Source organism: Homo sapiens, chromosome 1, assembly GCF_000001405.40.
Source record: "Homo sapiens chromosome 1, GRCh38.p14 Primary Assembly".
Classification (NCBI taxonomy): Eukaryota; Metazoa; Chordata; class Mammalia; order Primates; family Hominidae; genus Homo; species Homo sapiens.
In genome coordinates this window covers 178,786,536-178,811,203 of record NC_000001.11, presented here as the reverse complement: position 1 = coordinate 178,811,203, position 24,668 = coordinate 178,786,536, and the positions used below count along the sequence as shown (strand labels likewise).

General features: G+C 36.8%; 1 protein-coding gene and 1 long non-coding RNA gene across 10 annotated transcripts in view; one reads left to right on the top strand and one right to left on the bottom strand.

Annotated features, from left to right (window-relative positions):
• RALGPS2 (Ral GEF with PH domain and SH3 binding motif 2) overlaps positions 1-24,668 on the bottom strand; it is a 196,597-nt gene that overhangs the window by 110,637 nt on the left and 61,292 nt on the right. For 8 of the 9 annotated variants that reach the window (NR_174383.1, NR_174384.1, XM_047423755.1 and 5 more), the window contains one exon: positions 3,076-3,159. Coding sequence is in view for 6 of the 9 variants with exons in the window: in XM_047423755.1 (XP_047279711.1) it covers positions 3,076-3,159 (84 nt within the window). In the remaining 3 variants the exon portion in view is untranslated. Of the gene's footprint in view, positions 1-3,075; positions 3,160-14,434; positions 14,454-24,668 lie in introns of those variants that run through there. The other variant, XM_047423777.1, reaches the window with a different exon arrangement.
• LOC124904462 (uncharacterized) lies at positions 1,421-14,017 on the top strand. The gene is made up of 3 exons (XR_007066749.1): positions 1,421-1,499; positions 8,023-8,132; positions 13,931-14,017. It is a non-coding gene; the product is annotated as an uncharacterized LOC124904462 (long non-coding RNA).

Here is a 24,668-nt window from a genome sequence, read left to right as displayed (position 1 = left end):
TTAAAGGTGCTACTTATAGCAGGTTTTTCTGTGGCTGTGTAATTCTACATGACTGTTTATTTAGATTGAGTAGAATCATAAGTGAAGATTCCCAAGTAGGGTTTTCTTGGTGTAAATAAAATATCAAAAGAAAAAAATATATATCTAAGTTAACATTCTAAGATTAAAACTGCATTTCAAAAATTTTGTAATGCTTTCAAATAAAACCATCTTGATTTAAAAAATAATTAAAACTAATTTATTAGAAGGCAGATTAGATATATAATATGATAATGCTCTACTCTGAATAGTTTGCTTATTATATGATACAATATGTCCATGTAATACACTTTAATTCATGTACTATGAAAAAAAGTCAAAGCACTGTAAGTTGGTTCACTTATACAAATCTAAATACAGAATATAGTTCAAAATTATTGTGCAACAAATAATGCCACTGCCTCATATTTCTTCACATTTTTAATGAGAAATATTTCAGATTTTACTTGCAATTTTCATCTGTAAAGAAATGTCATTATGTATGTATTTTACATATATTTTACAAATATATATGTAAATATAAAGTATACATATTTTACAAAGTCACCTTAATACTTGTTACTATACTTGGGCTACTAAAAGTAATAATCCTCCCCAGTTCTAACAAGGTTTACTCCTAAAAAAAAAAAAAAAATCAAGTTATGCTATGGAAATCTTAACAATAACCTTAGCAAATATCAACTACGAATTCAAATCTAAAGTGCATGTTCACCAACTTAATTAAATTTAACATCAGGCAAATTTTAATACAAATATTATGGTGATTTGTTTTGTTTTGGAGACAGAGTCTTGTTCTGTTGCCCAGGCTGGAGTGTAGTGGGGTGATCTCGGCTAACTGCAACCTCTGCCTCCCAGGCTCAAGTGATTCTCCTGACTCAGCCTCCTAAGTAGCTGAGACCACAGGTGTAAGCTGCCATGCCCAGCTAATTTTTGTATTTTTTTAAATTGAGACAGGGTTTCACCACGTTGCCCAAGCTGGTCTCAAACTCCCGAGCTCAGGTGATCCACCAGCCTCTGCCTCCCAAAGTGCTGGGATTACAGGCATGAGCCACTACACCTGGCCAACGTGACTTTTTTTTTTTTTAAGACAAGGTCTTAGTATGTTGCCCAAGCTGGTCTTGAACTCTTGGGCTCAAGTGATCCTCCTGTCTCAGCCGCCCAGCAGCTGGAACTACAGGCACTTGCCACTGCACCTGGCTTAGACAAATGCTGTGGTGATTTTAAGCATACATTCTTTGTCACTCTCTATCAAAAGTTAGGACGTATATCACTTCTTACTGAATCTGGGCAGGCTTGTGACTGCTTTGATGAAGAAAGTGTTAGTGAAAGTGACACTGACTTCCAGGACGAGGTCATAAAAGACCATGCAGCCCCTGCCTCGATTGCTGGAACATTCTCTTGGAGAGCCCTAAGCTACTATGTAATAAATCCAGCCACCCCGAGACCCCAATACTGGAAGGGTAAGTGTACGTGCTCCCCAAATGACAGTCCATTAAAGCCAACTACATTTAAGAACACTGACCCAGAATAACCAACACCAAGACATGGTTTCATAAAATTACTGGACTCACAAGAAAAAGTATTTTTGCTATCAACCCCTAGAATTGCTGGGTTACATATAACAAACTGTTTTTTTTTAATGTATTTCTGAATTGGAAGAAAAATAAAGGATTTCCTCTAGAGATCAAAAACAAATAAGGAAATAAAAGCAAAGCAGTGGTTACAAGAGTGGGTACTGTAACTGCCCTTGGAGGATTTCCTATCTCGGTGACATTAGGGGCTTGGGACTTAATGCTCCTTCAAAGACATAATACAAGGCCTCACACCTCTCCGCTCCTCCATTTCTATCTAATGCTACTCAAAGGTCTACAATCTCAGTGAAAAGGCAGACTAAAACAATTCACTTATTTTTCAACTCCCTTGAAAAAGGGAGACAACATACAAGTGCATCTATAATAATGTAAGCTCTGGGTGGTCAAGGAGAAAAAAGAAAAACTCTTTCATAAGAATTTGTAGACTGAGAAGAGTGACTCATGCTTACAATCACAGTGCCTTGGGAGGCTGAGGCAGGAGGATCGCTTGAGGCCAGGAGTTCGAGACCAGCTTGGGCAACATAGTGAGACCTCATCTCCACAAAACATTCTTTTTAAATTAGTCTGGCGTGGTGGTGCATGCCTGTAGTCCTGGCTACCTGAGAGGCTGAGTCAGGAGGACTGGTTGCAGTGAGCTATGACTGCAGCACTGTACTCCAGCTTGGGTGACAGAGACCCTGTCTCTAAAAAAAGAAAAAATTAATTTAATTTTAAAAGAAGAATTTGTTAACTACAGGCTGCCTTTAACTGGATTTGGTATTTAAATTTTTACTACAGAGAAGTACAAAGATGCCCCAAGCAAAACAATAAACATAAAAAACAGTCCCAGGTCTGCGACAACCCTACGTATGAGCAAAAGCAAACAAAAAGCCTCTTAGAATAATGTATTCCCTCAATTGAGGCAGCAGCAAAATTCTCATGAATAAAGCTTAAACAGACACGAGCTTTCAAGCCAAAGATACAAAATTCACTATATATCTTTGAAAAAACCACTTTAAGAATGAGCAGAAATAGAGTAGTAGTACCCCAAGAAGTTCCAATAATAACACAGAAACTATGTTGAAAATTAATAAATTTTAAAAATAAAATAAAAATAAGAAAAGAGCATGACTGGTGTAAAAGCATAGAGATTTGAAACAGATAAAACACATCTGAAGAGAATCAGTGAACTGAAATGTAGATCTGAGGAAATCACTCAGAATGGAGGACAAAAACAGAGAGAAAATATGTAAGGTTAAGAGACAAGCAGGAAAGAATGTCAAGTTCCAATAAATTTTCAATAGGAGTTACAGAGAAAAAAAGAGATCATGCACAGAGACAATACTTGAGAGATACTGGCTGAAAATATTCCAGAACTGATGTAAAAAGTTAAATTATTTCTTAAGGAAAAAGTATATATTGAGGAACTGAATTTCAGACACAGTATCAAAATTTATAAACTCACATGATTGAATCTTCTTGTGAAGGCAACTGCATTTGGTGCAGAACTATATTTTTCTTTTTTATTCCATCCACAACTTGAAAGCTCCTGGAAAATTAAGGTGAAAATTAAATTTAAGTAATAGCCTAGTTTTTTTCTGCCAGATTAAGGCTTTCAAAACATTAAAGACAGTTTGTGTTCTTTTCTAGAATCACTTTATTTAATGGGAACATACATAATATTATATCCATTCAGTTGGATCACAAAAGCAAATTTGATTAGCAGGACATAAGAGAGCACAACGACTATGAAAACATAGGCAAATTTACATTCCACAGGCAGAATACTGGTGGATTCTTTTCTGAAAAGATTTGAATCCCAAGAGGAAAAGATCCACAGATAAAGATGAGCATCCCACAACATACAGTGAAGACTATTCAGTCACCCAGAGCTCCCAATCAGCTTTCTAGTATCTCACTCTTTGAGCTAACAGTCAATTACCCCAAACACTTGAAGAAACCTTTAATAAAAGGGATCATGATCCCCAAAAAGTGCCTGTCGACAGAATACAAAATGCCCACAAACTTGTATATTAAAAAATTAATTTTCATTTTACACTAACCTCTAACTGAAATAAGACAGTCCTTTTAGTTATAAATGTAGGCTACAGATTACAGTGGCATTGGCAACACATGTGATGTAGTTACCAATCAAAATCACTGATATTTTCATATCACATTACAGTTGATGCAGATACCTTAAAAATATCATTTACACTCATCACTGCTTCAAACTTATGGTAGTTATTTTATTTTTTTGAGACAGGGTCTTCCTCTGTTGCCCAGGCTGGAGTATACTGGTAGGGTCATAGTTCGCTGCAGCTTTATCTCCCTGTCTCAGGCAATTCTTCCACCTCAGCCTTCCAAGTAGCTGGGGCTACAGGTGTGTACCACCACATTCGGCTAATTTTGTTTGTATTTTTTGTAGAGACAGGGTCTCGCTATGTTGGCCAGACTGGACTTGAAGTCCTTTGCTGAAGCAATCCTACTGCCTCAGCCTCTCAAAGTGCTGGGATTACAGGCATGAATTATCACACCCAGATACGGTAGTATTTAAGACTGACCTCTAGATTTTAATACATTAAGGGCAAAGAAGCACATGTATTGCTGTGTAACAGCTTTACAAAATATTTTGTTAAGTATATTTTAATAGAACTGATTTCCTTTTAAAGAAGGGTTAGCATTCCATAGGCTTCAGCCTGCCGGACGAGTCCAAGGTCCGAAACAGGTTAACAAACTTCTGTAATACAACAATAGCCAGGGAGAGAGAGAACCACAACAAAAAAAGAAAAAGAACTGAGGAAATAGAGTTAGGGCAGAGAACGAGTTAGGGCAGGGAGCGAAGAAAACTGAGAAAAAAAGAAGCCAAAACCATATAATTATTATTTTTTAATACATGAGAAAAAGACATTGTACCCACTAAGCAAAAACAGGAGGATATATAAAAAGAAATATTCAGAGAACAAAATAGAGCTTTTAGAAATAAAAAATATAAGAGAAATTTGAAAGTCAGTAGAAGAGTTGTGAAATAAAGGTGACTAAATCTTTTAAACAAAAAGTTAATGATAGGAGTAAAATGTTGTTATGCTAATTTGAAGACCATAAGAGTCAACATCTGAATAACAGTAATTTTAAGAGGGAACAGAGAAAACTGATCAGAGATTCAAAAACAAAACAACAACAAAAAACAGCACATATGGAAAACAGGCATCAGAAGGTATCAGATATCTTAATAGCAGCACTGGAAGTTAAAAAACAACTGAAGCAATGCCTTCAATTTTGAAGAATTCAATTTTCTAGAATTCTATATCCAACACAAATATCAATGAAGTCTGAAAGTAGACTACAGACATTTTCAGACATGAACATCTCAGAGAATTTGTCTTCTATGTACCTACTCTCTGAGAACTAGTAGAGTATGTGCTTTATCAAAACAAACTAGCAAACAAAGAAAAAGGAAGATATGAGACCCAGGAAACTGAAAAGCCAATATAGAAAAAAAATATATATATATTGGGAATCCTCTGATTAACAGCAATGGGAGATCCTGGGGCAAAGCTATGAGCAGACCTTTAAGAACAAGAGTCAAGAAAGGAGCAAGAGGACAGAAATTCCAACAGACATCTGTTTCTGAAAGTGAAAAAAAAAATTCCTTATGTGTTTGGAAATATTAAGAAGAGACATTCAGTACATTCACTTCTGGCAGAAATTTAGTGATGGATACAAAGAAAACTAAAGTACATTTTAGCTCAAAGAAAACAAAACTTAAGTACAGTTCGATTGTAAAAAATATAGTTACTTAGTCAAAATTGTGATATAACTGTATGTGCAAAAGAAGGAGAAATGAATTATATAAATGGGGGGAGAGAATATAAGACAGTGAAATCATCTTCTATAGTAAAGAGTTAACATATCATACTTAAAATAGAAAAATCAAGGAAAAGTAAGGATTTAGATATATTATGTGAAAAACAGACATAAATTCCTCAAAGAAGAAACAGCTAGCCAACTATCTGATCTTTGACAAACCTGAGAAAAACAAGCAATGGGGAAAGGATTCCCTATTTAATAAATGGTGCTGGGAAAACTGGCTAGCCATATGTAGAAAGCTGAAACTGGATCCCTTCCTTACACCTTATACAAAAATCAATTCAAGATGGATTAAAGACTTAAACGTTAGACCTAAAACCATAAAAACCCTAGAAGAAAACCCAGGCATTACCATTCAGGACATAGGCATGGGCAAGGACTTCATGTCTAAAACACCAAAAGCAATGGCAACAAAAGCCAAAATTGACAAATGGGATCTAATTAAACTAAAGAGCTTCTGCACACCAAAAGAAACTACCATCAGAGTGAACAGGCAACCTACAAAATGGGAGAAAATTTTTGCAACCTACTCATCTGACAAAGGGCTAATATCCAGAATCTACAATGAACTCAAACAAATTTACAAGAAAAAAACAAACAACCCCATCAAAAAATGGGTGAAGGACATGAACAGACACTTCTCAAAAGAAGACATTTATGCAGCCAAAAAACACATGAAAAAATGCTCATCACCACTGGCCATCAGAGAAATGCAAATCAAAACCACAATGAGATACCATCTCACACCAGTTAGAATGGCAATCATTAAAAAGTCAGGAAACAACAGGTGCTGGAGAGGATGTGGAGAAATAGGAACACTTTTACACTGTTGGTGGGACTGTAAACTAGTTCAACCATTGTGGAAGTCAGTGTGGCGATTCCTCAGGGATCTAGAACTAGAAATACCATTTGACCCAGCCATCCCATTACTGGGTATATACCCAAAGGACTATAAATCATGCTGCTATAAAGACACATGCACACGTATGTTTATTGCGGCATTATTCACAATAGCAAAGACTTGGAACCAACCCAAATGTCCAACAATGATAGACTGGATTAAGAAAATGTGGCACATATACACCATGGAATACTATGCAGCCATAAAAAATGATGAGTTCATGTCCTCTGTAGGGACATGGATGAAATTGGAAATCATCATTCTCAGTAAACTATCGCAAGAACAAAAAACCAAACACCGCATATTCTCACTCATAGGTGGGAACTGAACAATGAGATCACATGGACACAGGAAGGGGAACGTCACACTCTGGGGACTGTTGTGGGGTGGGGGGAGGGGGGAGGGATAGCATTGGGAGATATACCTAATGCTAGATGACGAGTTAGTGGGTGCAGCACACCAGCATGGCACATGTATACATATGTAACTAACCTGCACAATGTGCACATGTACCCTAAAACTTAAAGTATAATAATAAATAAATCAATTAATTAAAAAAAAAAAAAAAAGAAGAAACAGCTAAGAGATCTGGGTGGGAGTGGAGCTCCAGGATCGAGGTTGGAAAGATGCGAATAACTGAGTTAGGATTTTGCTATATTTTGTTCTCTTATGCAAATATTTGACTTCTTAAACATGATACATGCAAAACTTCAATAAAATCTTAAATTAAATTAGAAACCAAAAAAAAAAAAAGGAATAGATTGAGTCAGGGGAAGATTGAGGAAACAGTTAAGATGATACTATAGTCCTTCAAGAAAAAAGTAATGTTCCCTCAACCAGGGCACTGTCAGTGGATATGGATACGATAGACTCAAGATACTCTGGAGGCAGACAGGACTTCATCAAGAATTGGACTCATGTGATGTAAGCTAAAAACGAAGTCTGCAGAAGTACTAAGATTCCAGGTTTCTGCTTTGAGCAACTGAGATAGGGAATACTGAGGGGAGAGATGACAATTATTTCTACACAGTAGATAAGGAGTGAATGCTGTGGAGATAAAAACTGCCTTTTTAAATCTAAAATTAGATCATATCTTTCAAGCTTGAAATTTCTGAAAGAAATAATGAAATGATAAAAAGCAATTCTATAGCAAAAATAAAAATTTCTGGATATTCAATTAGCCTAGCTATATGATCATTTTATATTATCTCCCTGTAAAAAAAGAAAACATTTAGTAGTAAAAATTATATTCACACAAAAATATTATGACAATGATACTGAAAACATCAAACTGCTAGAAACATTTTTGTTCTTTCCAAAATCACAGCATACATACACAACTACATAAAGATGTCATATTTTAGGATAAAATTCCTAAGATTAAATCCCTAAGTAACTGAATTCGTTTTTAGCCAATTACTATAATTACAAAACTTATATTAATGCTATAATCAAAGTGTCTATCAAATTAAACTTATCAAACCACTCAAAGTAGCCATTTGACAAAGAAGTCAAACTCCATTATAGACCTTTACACAAAAGGCTGATTTCATTTTCCTATTGTTAAGTAATGCTATAATTACAAATAATGAATATCCTTGCACCTCTTCTGACATTTCTGATTATTTCTTAAAAATATAGTCCTACAAGAAATCACGAGGTCAAAGAGTATGAACCTTTTCAAGGCTCTGCTACCTGTCAAACTGCCCTCCTGAAATACTGAATCATTTACACTCCCACGAGAAATGAATGTAAGTTTCACAACACTCTTATCAAAATGAGGTACATAGTTGACCCTTGAACAACATGGGTTTGAACTGTGTGGGTCCACTCATACACAGATTTTTTTCAAAAAATATTTTGGAAATTTTGTCTTGAAGATTTGCAACAATTTGAAAAAACTTGCAGACAAACCACATGGCTTGGAGTATCGAAAAATTAAGAAAAAGCTAGGGATGGCGTGAATGTATAAAATACTAGTCTATTTTATCATTTACTACCATAAAATACACACAAATGTATTTAAAAAAGTTAACATTTATCAAAATTTATGCACACCAACAGACCTTACATGCTGCCATATGCAGTCCAGAGAAATGTAACAAACATAAAGGTGCAATATTAAATCATAACTGCATAAAATTAACCATAGTACATACTGTTCTACTATAATAATTTTGTACCCACCTCGTGTTGCTCTTACAGTGAGTTTAAGTGTAGAGAGTATTCCCTTAAAACACCCTGTGATGACACTACTTATCTCCACATGAGCAGTTCCTATCTCCAGTAAATTGTATTATCACAGTAAAATGTGATTTCTCACGGTTCTCACGTTATTTTTCATCGTGTTTAGTGCAATATCCTAAACCTTGAATAACACCATGGGACCCATAAGAAGCACCACTAGAGATGCTGGAAGTGCTCCTAAGAAGCAAAGAAAAGTCATGACATTTCAAGAACAAGTTGCATTGCTTGATATGTACCATAGACTGAGGTCCTGCTGCCATTTCAGTCAATATATCTTATAAACAGACTATGTAAACTTATGATGTACAATACAGTACTGTAAATGTATTTTTCCTAATAACATTTTCTTTTTTCTAGCTTACTTTAAGAATATATTATATAATATATATAACATACAAACTATGTGTTAATCGACTGTTTATGTTATCAATAAGGCTTCCAGTCAATGGTAGGCTATGAGTAGTTGAGTTTTACCTGCAAATTTTCGACTTCTGGGAGCCTGGTGTTTCTAACTCCAGAGACATTCAAGGGTAAAGTGTAGTTCTGATTATTGTTGTATGAGATAGGCTAGTGATGTAACACTGTTTCATGGGGGAAATGTTTTCTGATACAGAAACTACCATCTTATGAGGTTCAAAAACATTTTCTCTTGTTTTCTAATTATAAGCTTCTTTAGAATGGAGGGCTTCAAACGGAATTTTAACCCAGCTGCTTCCAAAGAATGTGACTACACACCTCTCCCTCCCTCCCTCCCTCCCTTCTACCCATCAAGTCACCTTTTGTTAATTCCTCTGGTGTGGTGTTTATTAGCTCTTGAATTTCTCCAAGATCCATATCTCGAAACTCTTAGCTCCCTACCTTTTTTGCCATATCCACAATCTCTTTCATGATTTCCTTTCAGTCACCTTCCAACAGTTTTCCTCAAGTGACAAAGCATTTTTTCCATTAAATTAATGATGCAGAAATGTTCTAAGAATTGGACGGACTTTCCAAAACCTCTTGGCATTTATTTGAGGAGTCAGAAAAGTATTAAAAAATTTTTTTAATGTAAAAATGAAGCCACAATCCACCATACTTTTGTCTGGCTTCCTTATTTATCACGATAAATTATAATGATGAAACAGGATCAAATGGGTTGATATGTATAAAGCCTTTAGACTGGCACATAATAATCTCTGTATTAGTGTTAGTATTATTATTATTATTGCTACTATTAAGACATCTGTTTTCAGGATGGGAAAGACTTTTAAAACACAGTAGATTAAATTACACAGCAAAGTATAGCTATTGGCTACCTTAAACAAATGAACAAAAAAGAGACCCACATATGCACATAAAGAAGATTGGGAAGGCTGGGCATAGTGGCTCACACCTGTAATCCTAACACTTTGGGAGGCCGAGGCAGGTGGATCACCTGAGGTCAGGAGTTCAAGACCAGCCTGACCAATATGGTGAAATCCCTCTCTACTAAAAATACAAAAATTAGCCAGGCGTGGTGGCATATGCCTGTAATCCCAGCTACTTGGGAGGCTGAGGCAGGAGAATAACTTGAACCCAGGAGGTGGAGTTTGCAGTGAGCTGAGATCACGCCACTGCGCTCCAGCCTGGGCAACAGAGCGAGACTTCTGTCTCAAAAAAAAAAAAAAAGATTGGGAATATGTTTACATAGGTTTTCTTTGGGGTTTATAGGTGATTCACAGCCCTCTCTCCACCCTTATTTTCTCTCTACTTCACATCAAACATCTTTCGTCTCAAAGTTGGGGAAATTAAGTCAACCATATATAGAAAGAGTAGTAAATACAGTTGACCCTTAAACAACTCAGGGGTTAGGGGCACTGACCCTCCGAACAGTTGAAAACCCACATCTAACTTTTAAAATTATGCACATATAACCTTTGACTCCCCCAAAACCACTAATAGCCTACTGCTGACCAGCCTTACTCATAACATCAACAGGTGATTAACATGTATTTTGTATGTGATATGTATAATACACTATATTCTTACAGTAAAGTAAGCTAGAGAAAATAAAATGTCATTAAGAAAATCATAAGGAAGAGAATTTACTATTCGTTAAGTGGAAGTGGATCATCATTAAGGTCTTCATCCTTGCATCTTCATGGTGTATAGGCTGAAGGGGTTGGTCTTGTTGTCTCAGTGGTGGCAGAGGTGAAAAGAAGGCCAGAAAGGCAGGCACACTTGGTGTAACTTTACAAAAACATATGTAATTTAGGTCTGACTTTTTTTGCTTTTTCCATTTCTCTAAAGATGTTTCCATATGGTACCAATCTTTCTTCCGTAGTTTCCTTTAGTTTCAATGCCTGTATCATAGAACGGTCCATGTTGTAAAAGAAGTCAAATGCAGTCTTGAATCACTAGAACTCTTCTGCTGGACTGTCTAATGTCAATTTGTTTTCTGGTGCTGCTTTTTCTACATCTTCTTCCTCATCATCTGGCACTGGCTCAGAAGCGTTCATCTCCATCAAGTCATCTTTTGTTAATTCCTCTGGTGTGGTGTTTATTAGCTCTTGAATTTCTCCAAGATCCGTATCTTGAAACTCTTAGCTCCCTAACTTTTTTTGCCATATCCACAATCTTTTTCATGATTTCCTTGGTTGGCTCTGTCATAAAACCTGTGAATTCACGTGTAACATCTGGACACAGTTTTCTCCAGCTGAAATTTATTGTTTTGGGCTTGATGGCTTTCATGGCTTTTTCTTTAACAATGATGGCATCTTCAATAGTGCAATTCTTTTAGACTTTGATGATGTTCTATATAAGGGTTCTTATATATCACCGACAATCCTTTTCATAAAGTACTGAGTGTAATGAGCCTTTGGTGTTGAACACACGGGGCTCTGGGTGGCCAGGCGCATTGCTCAGAATCAAAAGAACTTTACGAGGCAGTCCCTTATTAGCAGGGTTCTTCCTGGCTTCAGAGACAAAGCATCAATGGAACCAATCCAGAAAAGGGGTTCTCATTTTCCAGGCTTTATTATTTTACATCCAAAGACGGGCAGCTGGTGTTTACCTTTTCCCTTCAAGACTCAGGGTTTAGCAGCTTTATAGGTAAGGGCAGTCCTGATCATAAACCCAACCGCAATTGCACAAAACAGTAGAGTTAGCCTATCCCCATCTGCCTTAAATTGTGGTGCTTGCCTCTCTTCCTTGCTAATATATGTCCTTTGTGGCATTTTTTTTTTCCAGAGTAGGACACTTTCATCTGTATTAAAAACTTGTTCAGACTGGGTGCAGTGGCCTGTAATCCCAGCACTTTGGGAAGCCGAGGCAGACGGATCATGAGGTCAGGAGTTCAAGACCAGCCTGGCCAACACGGTGAAACCCCATCTCTACTAAAAATACAAAAAATTAGCCAGGCATGGTGGCATGTGCCTGTAATCCAAGCTACTCAGGAGTCTGAGGCAGGAGAATCACTTGAACCCAGGAGGTGGAGGTTGTGGTGAGCGGAGATCGCGCCACTGCACTCTAGCTTGGGTGACAGAGCAAGACTCCGTCTCAAAACAACAACAACAACAGCAACTTGTTCAAGCAGATACCCATTCTCCTCAATGATTTTCTCAATGGTGTCTGGGAGCCTGTCTGCTGCTGCTTGGTAGGCAGAAGCTGCTTCTCCTGTTATCCTGACAATTTTTAAGCAAAACTTCTTTCTAAAATTATCAAACCATCCTTTGCTGGCATTAAATTCTCCAGCTTTAGATACTTCACCTTCCTTTTAAGTTGTCATATAATGAGTTTGCTTTTTCTTGAATAATATTTGAGGCTATGGGTATACTTTCTTATAGAAATCCTGGACCCATTTAAAAAGCTGCATTTTCAATACAAGATAAAAGACACAATATTTCACAAAACGTGTGGGGTTTCCATACCTGCTGGTGTATGAAAAGTGATGACTTCACAAATTTCCTTTTTAAAAAAAAAACGAAACACAATGCTCCTTACACTGGATTCATTTATCTTGAAATGGCAGACAACTGCAGCTGCAGACCTTAATCTGTGGTACATTTCAAGCAATTCAACCTGTTCCTGTAATGTCGTAACTTTTCTCTGCTTCTTAGAAGCACTTCCACCACCACTAATGGTATTTCTTATGGGTCTCATGGTATTATTCAAGGTTAGGATATTGCACTAAACACAGTGAGAGATCACATTTTAACGTCATAACACAATTTACTGGAGACAGGAACTGCTCATGTGGAGATAACTGATTAGCATCATCATTTTCAGCAGATACTCTCAACACTTGAGCTCACTGTAATAGCAACGCGAGGTGGTTACAAAATTACTACAATAGAATGGTATGCACTACAGTTAATTTTATGCAGTTATGACTTAATACTGCATCTTTATGTTTCTTAATAGTTCTCTTGACCGCATATGGCAGAACACAAGGTCTTTGTGTGCATAAGTCTTGATAAATATTAACTTTTCTTAATACATTTGGATATATCTCATGGTAGTAAAAGACAAAATAGACTAGTATCTACATATATTTTATACATTCACGCCATCCCTTTTTCTTAATTTTTTTTTATATTTCTAAGCTATGTGGTTTTTTTTTTTTTTTTTTTTACAAATTGTTGGAAATCTTCAAGACAAAATTTCCAAAATATTTATTGAAAAAAATATGTGTATGAGTGGATTCTCACAGTTCAACAAGATGAAGAACAGATTTGTGGCTGCCAGGGTTAAGGCTGGTGAGGAGTAGGAGAGGAGTAATGCGATGGGTGTGACTATAAAGAGGTAGCACAGGGAGAGATCTTTGTGGTGATGCAATAGTTCTGAATCTTGACTGAGGTAGTGGTTAGATAAATCTACATATATGACAAAAATCACAGATTTATACAGACACGTATTATAAAAATATCAATTTCTTGGTTTTGATATTGTACTATAGTTATGTAAGATGTAACTGCTGAGGAAAACTGAATGAAGAGTAAGTAAATGGGACTTTTCTGGACTACTTTTATAACTGCCTATGGGCCTCTAATTATCTCTGTACTATTTTGTTGCAACTTCCTGTGAATCTATTATGTCAAAATAAAAAGTTAAAAAACAGCAATAAAAACAAAACTACATAATGAATTATGAAGCTAAAATTGCACCGGGACTCCCAAGAACTAACCCACTATTTCTTCTTAAACTTTGACATGCATTTATGGTTACCTGGCATTAAAGGAATTTTGCCCTGCCCCACCTCTACCTCTCAAGAGCTGCTAAATTTCTCTGTGATTAAAAAAAAAAAAATTGCTTTTCCCTTTGTCTCTATCTCTTTCTGTTTCAGATTCTAAGATCTTCCTCCAAGTCACACTAGAATACAATCCAGGAAATAAATTATGCCACAGATGCCATCTTGCATATTGACAGTTCAGCCTGGTCAAGAATTAGTCTATACTAAAATATCTCATATGAACATCAAAAGGTTGAAGTAAACTCAACAACTCAAAGGATGCTTTTTTCAAGGGTATGACTTAGGAATAAAACTGTTTTGAGTATACTATGTAAATAAGCCTCCATTTTAGCAAAGGCTAAATGAAATTTAGCAGCCTTGATACCCCTTAAAATTTGTTACAATGGATTTAACTTGCAATTTTAAAATCACGTAGTAAAGAGAAATCTTCAAATAGTAAATCATATATAAAGGCAATTTCTTAACAGTCATTATAAGTGTATTTGAAAGAATATTCATTGATTAATTTTAAACTATGAAACTACTAAGCCCAATTTTCACTTGCATTTATTTTGGAAGCACAGGGAGGGCAAAATCCCACAACTGATGACCACCTACCCTATGAAAGAATTACTGAATTCACAGAAGTCAGAGCTTCCTTATATCTTGTAGGTTTGTTCTGCAAAGAAATTCTTGATCTAAATTTCATCTTGTAGGTTCCAATACTCTTAAAAGGAATGTTCTAAGGGTGATGCTGTAGGGATACCTACAGATAGAAGAGAGAAAAAGCCAATATAGACTAGTATGTAGATAAGAGACTGAGGGAAGAAAAGAAAAAGCGATGGAATCTGTAAATGACTGGAAGCAGGGAGAGGGCAATGGGGCTGGGAGATCCTAACAAAGAGAAGATAATTATTGCTGAGACATCTCTGTGCTCAAAAGAGGACAGCTTTAGAGGAATACGGCATATCCATTAGCATTCAGCCTAATATGGTTATCTACAAAGAAGTCTCAGTCACACATGAAGTGCTCACTACTATTCCTATATCTTAACCCACAATATAAACTTTAAAACTAACTCCTAGGTATTAAGATATATATATATAAACCCTTCTATTTTCTAATGTACTCACATCCTCTTTTCTCTTCCTTCCTCCCAATATGTTAAAGCTGTCCGTATAATGAGATCACAGATACAGGCAGGAGCTTTCTTTTCCTATCTCTGATGTCATATACACCTACACTACCAAACAACACTTTTCTTCTCTACCTTCCTTAATCCTAATCTAAGCCTTATCTTATTATATATTAAAGAAGTTCACAGTGATGAACAGCAGTAATACAAACTGACAAAACAGCGGCAACTCGCTTCTAACACAGCAATTGGTTTATTCTGGTCTGTATAGCAGAACAATTTCAAGTCTACAAGTCTTCTTTGCTTTCTTCAAATCTCTCATTATATTTATTAATTGTTTATATTTTAATTTTAAGGCAAATGATTAATTTTCATTAAAACAAGGATAGAATTATGATATTCCTGATGCTGGAACTTTGGATGTTTCCAAGATTATATTATCTTGACATACACTAGAAGGTTTGCACAGAGAAGCTTTTTCTATATACTGTCGGAAATATCTCAATTGTTAAATTTTTCAGAAATATTTTAATAAGATACAGTCCAGGTGTGGTGGCTACACCTGTAATCCAGCACTTTGGGAGGCTGAGGTGGGTGGATCACCTTAGGTCAGGTGTTCGAGACAAGCCTGGCCAACATGGTGAAACCCCATCTCTACTAAAAATACAAAAATTAGCCAGGTGTGGTGGTAGCACACCTGTTATCCCAGCTACTCAGGAGGCTGAGGCAGAAGAACCACTTGAACCCGGGAGGCAGAGGTTGCAGTGAGACAAGATCGCACCACTGCACTCTAGCCTGGGCAACAGAGTAAGACTTTGTCTCAAAAAACAAACAAACAAACAAGAAATATTTTAATTAATAAGATTCAGAATTATCTATTACATACTTTCCCTCATTTAACCAACATTCTTCCTTGATCCCTAGTAAATCCTAGTGATCCCAGTTATATAGAGGGGCTTATTATTTTTTGAATTTAATATCTGTTTGTTGATATAATCTAAATGTCTGACTTAATGTATTGATCTACGAGGATAAATAGAGTATAAAACTTTCTTCTTTGCTTTTTTTTTTTTGAGACAGAGTCTCACTCCATCACCCAGGCTGGAGTGCAGTGGCGCAATCTCGGCTCACTGCAACCTCTGCCTCCCTGGTTCAAGCGATTCTTGTGTATCAGCCTCCCGAGTAGCTGGAATTACAGGCATGCACCACCATGCTTGGCTAATTTTTGTATTTTTAGTAGAGATGGGGTTTTTCCATGTTGGCCAGGCTGGTCTTGAACTCCTAGCCTCAAGTGATCCACCTGGCTCAGCCTTCCAATGTGCTGAGATTACAGGCGTTAGCCACCACGCCCAGCCTAAAACATTCTTTGAATGCTCTATATGTCAGACTTTCAGATATATCCTGTCACTTTATGAATACTTGAGACCCTCATAAAAGAGGCAAACAGTATCCAATGTAATAACTACAGCACAAATTTCAAGCACAGTTGATCCCCTACTTAAGGCTTATTAAAAGCACCAGAGAATTGCTACTGGAAAGAAAACCGCACTGCAAACCACCTTTTTGTCATAACTCACCTTGTGCTTAGTAACAGAAAGTTCATTCTGAAGAGAAACCCTATTAGTGTAATCAATGTAGCAATGCCTTCTGAAGAAATACAAGCTTTATAGAACATCCGATAATTTATAATAGACAAAAATCTAAAACAAAAATCCTCTAAATGTAATAACATGGAAAAACCTTCAGAATACAGTCAAGCTTCTGCAACATGAAAGAACTCACACTGGAGAGAAGCCCTATAAATAAATGTGTAAGAGCCTTCTAAAAGAAAACAATCTAAGCCAGGTGTGGTGGCTCACACCTGTAATCCCAGCACTTTGGGAGGCCAAGGCAGCTCACTTTAGGTCAGGAGTTTGAGCCCAGCCTGGCCAACATGGTGAAACCCTGTCTCTACCAAAAAATACAAAAATTAGCTGGGTGTGGTGGCATGCGCCTGTAGTCCCAGCTACTCTGGAGGCTGAAGCATGAGAATCACTTGAACCCAGGAAGCAGAGGTTGCAGTGAACCGAGATCACATCACTGCTCCCCAGCCTGGGCAACAGTGTGAGATCATGTCTCAAAAAAAGAAAAGGGAAAGAAGGGAAAGGGAAGGGAAAAGAAAACAAACCTTCATGATCAAAAGAGAAATCATATTGAGGAGAACTATGTATATAAGAAATATGGGAAAACTTTAATAAGTGCTGAGCTTTGACTGAATACCAAAAATCATTACTAGAAATTAATGAAACTACAGAATCCTTTGGCAAAACTTCTGCCCTACTCAGCATTGGAAAATTCATACTAGGGAAGAAACCTGAAAATATAGCCTAAATTATGGGAAGGAAAAAACTCCTGTTTCTGTAGAAAGGATGCTATTTTACAAAAGTCACATTGGGTGGATAACACTTCTGCAAAAACGACTCCAAAATGATAAACAATGGGAGATCATATGCATACAGGCTATACAGTATGAAGTTTTGAAATGGTCATTTATCAATCTCTAATAGTAAACAGGTGAGAAGGTATTATTCTAAGGTGCTAGAGATACCAGTGAATGGAACAAAGATTCCTGCCCACATGGAATTTATATTCTCGAAATGGGATGACAGACCCCAATCTGTACGTGCTTGACTTGTGACAGCCCCCCAGACTTTATCACCTATTAAGACTCCCGGGCTGGGCATGGTGGCTGATGTCTGTAATCCCAGCACTTTGGGAGGCTGAGGTGGGAGGATCACTTGAGCCCAGGAGTTCAAGACCAGTCTGGGCAACACTGCGAGACCCCATTTCTTAAAAAAAAAAAAAAAAAAAAGACCCCTGTGGTTTTGATCGAAATTCTTATTTATTAAAGCCTTATAACTACTAACTGCAGCTCAACTCTGAAATTACCCACTTCCAGGAATTTCTCAGAAATCTATAAAGTATTTTAAAGATCAACCAGTCTAAATACCCTTTATTTAGATTTAAAAAAAATTTCAAGGCCAAAGACAAGAAACAGATTGTATTAGCAGCACAATTTATAAATAGCAAAGCTGAAACAAAAATACAAGTCTTCTGGCTCCTTGCTCTTATGGTTTGGCCGCTAAAAAATTATCTTCTGTAATTCAAAGGGCTTTTAAATAAATTTTAAAGTAAGTGAAATTAAGTAATTAAGGATTTATTGAGCACCCATTCAGACTGCTGTGTGTTGGACCCTGATTTTACAAAGGGGGAGGGGCAGCAGCAAAATATATGGCAATTTGTCTTCAAAACTGCTTTAAACTAAAAAAGAAAAGACGGAAAGTGAGAGAGCAACTGTGTGAAAGTAAGAGTTGCAAGGGTATATTAATAGTGGTTGAATATAGATGATGGAACTTTCCCCCTTCTTTATAATCACTGTAATTACAGTTTACAGTTACAACCATGTTATTGTATTTTCTCCCCACCACTAAGAGACTACATATCAAGAGGAAGGGGGAACAGTAAAAACCAAGGTTTTGTGTGAAAGGGATCACTATCCATAGAAGTATCCAAATTTGGTCACGCAGCTTGGGCCAATGGACAAATGGAACATCTTAGGATTTCTGCAGCACCAGTATGGAAACACCAGGGCACAGTACTGAGGCCAGGGGTGGAGAGGGAGCTGTCAGGATATATATAACTGACTGAGCTGTGACCAATCTCAGTCCCAACAACCACAGACAGACACTAAAGAATACTCCTATTTCTAGAGCCAATGAGCTGCAGCCGTGTAATAGCATTTTATTCTTTCAATAAATATGCTTCAGAGTTGACAGGAGAAAAGAAGGGGAGAAAATTTAGGAGGTAACGTCAATGGGAGATACTGGAGAACAGAAGAAGGACAGAGAAAGAAGTGGAAAGGCTGAATTTTTGGTTTCTCAATTGTATTAAAAATGGATGGTTCAGAGCACTCAGAGAACCTTAAAAAACTTAACAAAATATGAGTGAACTTTTTTTCTATGTAATTAGATTCCTACTAAGTAGTTTTTAAAATGACTGGTGAAGTTTAATGGTGAATTCTTTTCTTTGGTAAACATATTTGCCTGTCTTCTCTATCATTACACAAAAAACTAGAAAATAAAGTACCAAAACCTGTTTTCTTGTTCTTCAATCTGAAGTAATTTCAAGTGTGTTACAGAATTGGAGAAAAACCAGGCTTAGCATTATGTTTGCTTCAGATCTGCTTTTAAAGATGTGATTTTACTTATCCAGTATTTTATCAATGACCAAGGACAATCTTTGTACAAAGAAAAATAATTTTTAACACTTCAGAGATAAGACAGTTTCTACAGTGAAATAAAAGACTTGGAATTTTTCTTTTTTTCCCCCGAGCAATTCTGAGATATATAGTACAACAGACATTGTAGGTAAGCAGCTTTATTTCTGAGCAAACAACTGTACCTCTTATAATTGCCCTATAGTTTCTTCCTCCAAGTCAAGAACGAGTTTAGGTAGAACACGTTTAGCTAAATTCTGTTTGACATACGAGAGTTGAAAATGCAGAATTCCATAAACTAGTAAGAATTACCAGGTCCTACTTAGGAAATTAAATCAGGAGTGGGAGATATATATTATACGTAACTCAGAAACTGTCTACATTATTGAAAGCTGAGACTTGCGTGGTTCAATCACCAATCTGCAACTAAAATCACTATACCACACAGTTGGATTCAGAATCTATATTCTTCAAAATTGAAATTTAGTTCATATTTTAATATAAATAAACCATCACCTAAAATAATGTTACATGTGGAAACACAAAAATGAGCATTGATTTAAATAGTTTTCAGCCTGGTGTGCTGGCTCACACTGATCCCAGCACTTTGGGAAGCCGAGGCCGGGGGATCGCTTGAGCCCAGGCATTCAAGACCAGCCTGGGCAACGTAGTAAGACCTTGTCTCTATCCAAAAAAAAAAAAAAAAAAAATTAGGCAGGTGTGGTGGTGTATGCCTTTAGTCTTAGATACTTGGCAGGCTGAGGTGGGAAAACCACTTAAGCCCAGGAGATCAAGGATGCAGTGGGCCGTGATCATGCCACTGCAATCCAGCCTGGGCAATACAGTGAGACTCTGTCTCAAAAAACAAACAAAAACAAAATACACTGAAGATCTTTTAAACAGTTTTATAAAGTATATGTATACTTTTAATATACAATTATATATGAAGTAGAGACCTGAATATTGATATAATGGACACAAACATAAAATTAATTTACTAGTTATAGACTCAGTTATAACCAATATCTTTTCATAATATCTGAGGTTTAATTTTGATTTAACAATAAGAATTCCTTTATCCTCCAGTGAAGGTAATATTCTAATGTATACTATATAAAGAGACATCATTTTATGTTAATAAAGATTAATACACTAAACTGGCTGCCATCATAGGTTAAACAATCTATTTTTAACTTATCAGTAGCAAGAGTTTTGACATAATAAACAATATCTGTACAATCATTTTGGAAAACAAATTAGCAATAGTTGATTAAAAATTTAAAGATGCTCTATAATCCAGTGATCAATGCATTAAAGTGTATATATCAACACAGATGCTAGTCAACAATGTTGAACATCAAAAGCATGCTACGAAGACAAGAACATCAAAAGCATGCTAAAAAGACCGAAACAACAGAACACCATCTACATAAAATATTTGAAACTGCAATAGCATGCGTTAAGGGATACCTATACATAAAGAAAAAATATAACTAAATAGACAGGAATGATACAGACCAATACTGGATGGTGATTACCTTGGTGGCAGAATGCAGAAAGCCTTTCTCAGTACTGGTTAGATACACAGGAATTTATCTTATTATTTACTATGCTTTGTTATATGTCTTTAATATATCATACTAAATTTTAAAAACATTTTTCTGCCAGATAACAAAGGCCTTTTTATACTGGCCAGATTTAATACACTCTTAGTGTTCACACGAGACTAATACATTAAGAATATATTGGCTGGGCGCAGTGGCTCACACCTGTAACCCAGCACTTTGGCAGGCCAAGGCAGAAGGATCACTCGAGCCTTGGAGTTTGAGACCAGCCTGGACAGCACAACGAGACCCTGTCTCTAAAAAAATAAAATAAAAAATTAGCCAGGCATGGTGGCACATGTGTATGGTCCCAGCTACTTGGGAGGCTGAGGTGGGAGGATCATTTGGGCCTGGGAGGTCCTGGCTGCAGTGAGCCGTCATTGCGCCGCTGCACTACAACCTGGGGAACAGAGCCAGACCCTGTCTCCAAAAAAAAGCTAAAAGTATTTTGGTGCTACATCATTTCTTCCAATAGTTACTGTTGTCAATTTTTAAAAACACTCTCTCATTGGGCAGACATTTACTAAATACTATGTTCAACCTCTCATTCTAAATATTGAGCTTCCACTATGTGCCAGTCAGATAAAATGGTAAGCAAAAATTGTCAGTCTCTGCCCTCATGTAGCTTAAAATCTGGTGGAGAGGCAAGCAAATCAAGTACCTGTATTCACTCTCTTGATAATCTCACCCACACTTTTAAATACCACCTCTACACTGACATCTCCTAAACTTATTATTTCTAGACTGGACTGGAAATATATGCCAGTATACATTCCCAAACTCAACATTCTCCTTGGCTGTCTAACAGGCATGTCAAAATAAGTATGTCCAAAGCCAAACTCCTGCAAAATCTGTTCCTCTAGCCTTTCTCCACAAGGGTGCATTGTGCATTATATTTTATATGAATAGCAGCCCCAGGAGTTGTATACGACAACAATAATAATTTTTCATCCCAGAGAATATCAACTACATGCATCTGGCTTCAGGCCAAAAACCTTGGTGTCATCCTCTACTCTTGTTTCACATACAATGTCTGGCAACTTCTCATTTATCTCTTCCATTCCCACCCTGATCTAAGCCACCTTCATCTCTCACGTGGTCTCCTTGATTCAGTCCTTGGTACCACCTCTTCTTCCCCTATGCTCTTTGCCACATATCCTAGTCAGCAGTATCAAAGAGCTGCTTAAGGCCGGGCACAGTGGCTCACGCCTGTAAACCCAGCATTTGGGGAGGCCAAGGCGGGTGGATCACTTGAGGCCAGGAGTTTGAGACAAGCCTGGCCAACATAGTGAAACCCTGTCTGTACTAAAAATACAAAAATTAGCGAGGCGTGGTGGCATGCACCTGGAGGCCTAGCTACTAGGGAGGCTGAGGTAGGATAATCACTTGAACCCGGGAGGCGGAGGTTGCAGTAAGTTGAGATCACACCACTGCATTGCATTCCAGCCTGGGTGACAGAGCAAGATTGTCAAAAAAAAAGAAAAAAGAAGAAGAAAGAAAGGAAAGAAAGAAAGAAAAGAAAAGAAAAGAAAAGAAAAGAAAAGAAAAGAAAGAAAGAAAGAAAACAAAAGAAAAGAAAAGAAAAGAAAGAAAGAAAAGAAGAGAAGAGAAAAAAAAGAGCGACTTAAAACCTAACGCGGAAAATGTCACTTCTCTGCTCACAACCCTCTAATGGCTTCCCATCTTTTTCACAATGGCCCCACACCATCTAGCCCTCACCCTACCTCTCATCTTCTAGTACATTCCCTCCCTTGCTCACTCACTGTAGCTCACTGGCCTTTGCCCCGACTTTCCCTTTGCCTGGAATACTATTTCCCCAAACACTCATATGGCTTGCTCTCTCACTCACCTCCTTTAGGCCTTAATGCAGATGTCATCTTCTCAGTAAGGTCTTCCTGATCATCCTATCTAAAGTTGCAACTCCCACTACCCTCACACTTCCTATTCTCTTCTCTCTGCTTTATGTTTTTCATGACACTCTATAGCTAACCTCACCCAAATATCAGATCCATGAGGGCAGGAATTTTAGTGTTGGCTTACTGCTATACCTTCAGCAACTAAACTAGATGTTTTAAATTGCATAAAATAGGCATACAATAGGCATCCAGTAAATATTTGTTGAATCACAACACAAATGTAAAATTGCAATTGACGAGTCCAGTGAAAAAGTATAGAGTGCTAGGTGACCCTGTAGAAAGACAAAAAAAGCTTACCTGAGAAAGTCAAACTAGAGCTGAGAACTGAAAGATGAGTAGAAGTTAATTAGGATGTGCACAGGCTCAGTGGTGAGAGGGGCTAAAGGAAGGCTAGTATATCTTAGACCAGAAAGACAGGAAAGATGTAAGATGGGGTTGCAGAAGGTAGAAAAAGGTAAAACTGTGAAGAGATCTGTAGACCATATTAAGATGGTTCTTTATCCTCAGAGCAACAGGAAGCCAATGAAGTGTTTTAAGCAGAGCGATCACATGAACAGATCCAACAGATGTTGAAAAGATTACCATGGCTACTGGGTAAAAAAGCATTTAGAGGGGTCAAAGTAAATGCAGGTAGATGAAGTAAGAGGTCACTGCAATAATTCACTTGAGAGAAGACAGTATTTTACATTGGGGTGTTGGGAGTAGAGATAGACTGGATAGATAAGGTACTTAGGAGGTTAAAAAAATCAAAGGGATTAGATAAATGGAGTAAAGGTCAAGGGAATTTTAAGGTTTATTTCTAAGTTTCACAAAGTACTATCAGATGCCCCAAGGGAATAAAAATTTCCCATAGATGTGAAGTCTATGTCTTCAAGTAGTATTATCTGGATCTTCAATATCCAAGCTCCTAGCCACCAATGGCTACTAAGCACTTGAAATATAGCTACTCCAAATAAAGATGTACTGCAATTGTTGTATATGTTGGATTTGAAGGCTTAGCGGAGAAAAAAGAATGTAAGATATCTCAATAATTTTTTACACTGATTACAAGTTGAAACGATAATATTTTGTATGTAGCAGGTTACATAAAATCATTAAAATCAATTTCATCTTTCTTTTTACCTTATAATGTGGCTACCAGAAAACAAAGTTATATAAATGGCTTATACTATATTTCTGCTAGACAGCACTGATCTCATATAAAGCAGCAATACAACTGTTGCAGTTCATTCAAAAGGAAAAAATACACCTAAGAAGAAGACAGGTGAATTTTAGGTCAAAAACGTAATTTGCATAAAGAATTTCATTTTTTTGATTTTTTTTTTCAGGGAGGAGAAGAAATAAGTATTTCTGGTTTTTTCTTTTTGCCATTTAAATACAAAAGCCATTTTCTTCTTGTGCTTTATTTATAGAATACATTGTTCTTCTTCTATTGCTAATCCAATGGTTCTACTTAGAGAGCCCTCTGAGGTATGGGGGAAAAGTTAGGAAAACACAGAATTGTGGAAATGATGGGAACTGACGATCATTTCGGCCCACCCCTTCATTTATAGGTATCGAATTTGAGATACTAAGACAGGAAGTAACTTACTTGAAAATCACAGGACTAATACTACCTACATCATGTAGGACATAAATGGAAACTCATAGTCATTACAGTGTTCAGGGCCACTACAGACTTGTATATAGCACAATGAATACACTATATTTTGTTCCCGAAAGAACTAAAATTGTATCTATTTTGTAGTATTGAATTTCAGGATTATCAATGACTTTGTTTTGGAATACAAAATCACATTGATATACTAGATGAGAGGTTAAAAAAAATCAGATTTTAGAGTCTGAAACCCAGTTCCACCACTTAGTTGTGTACCAAAGACAATTGTCACTGTTTCCTCATCAGTAAAACAGAGATACTATCATACTCAGGATGTTAAAATGA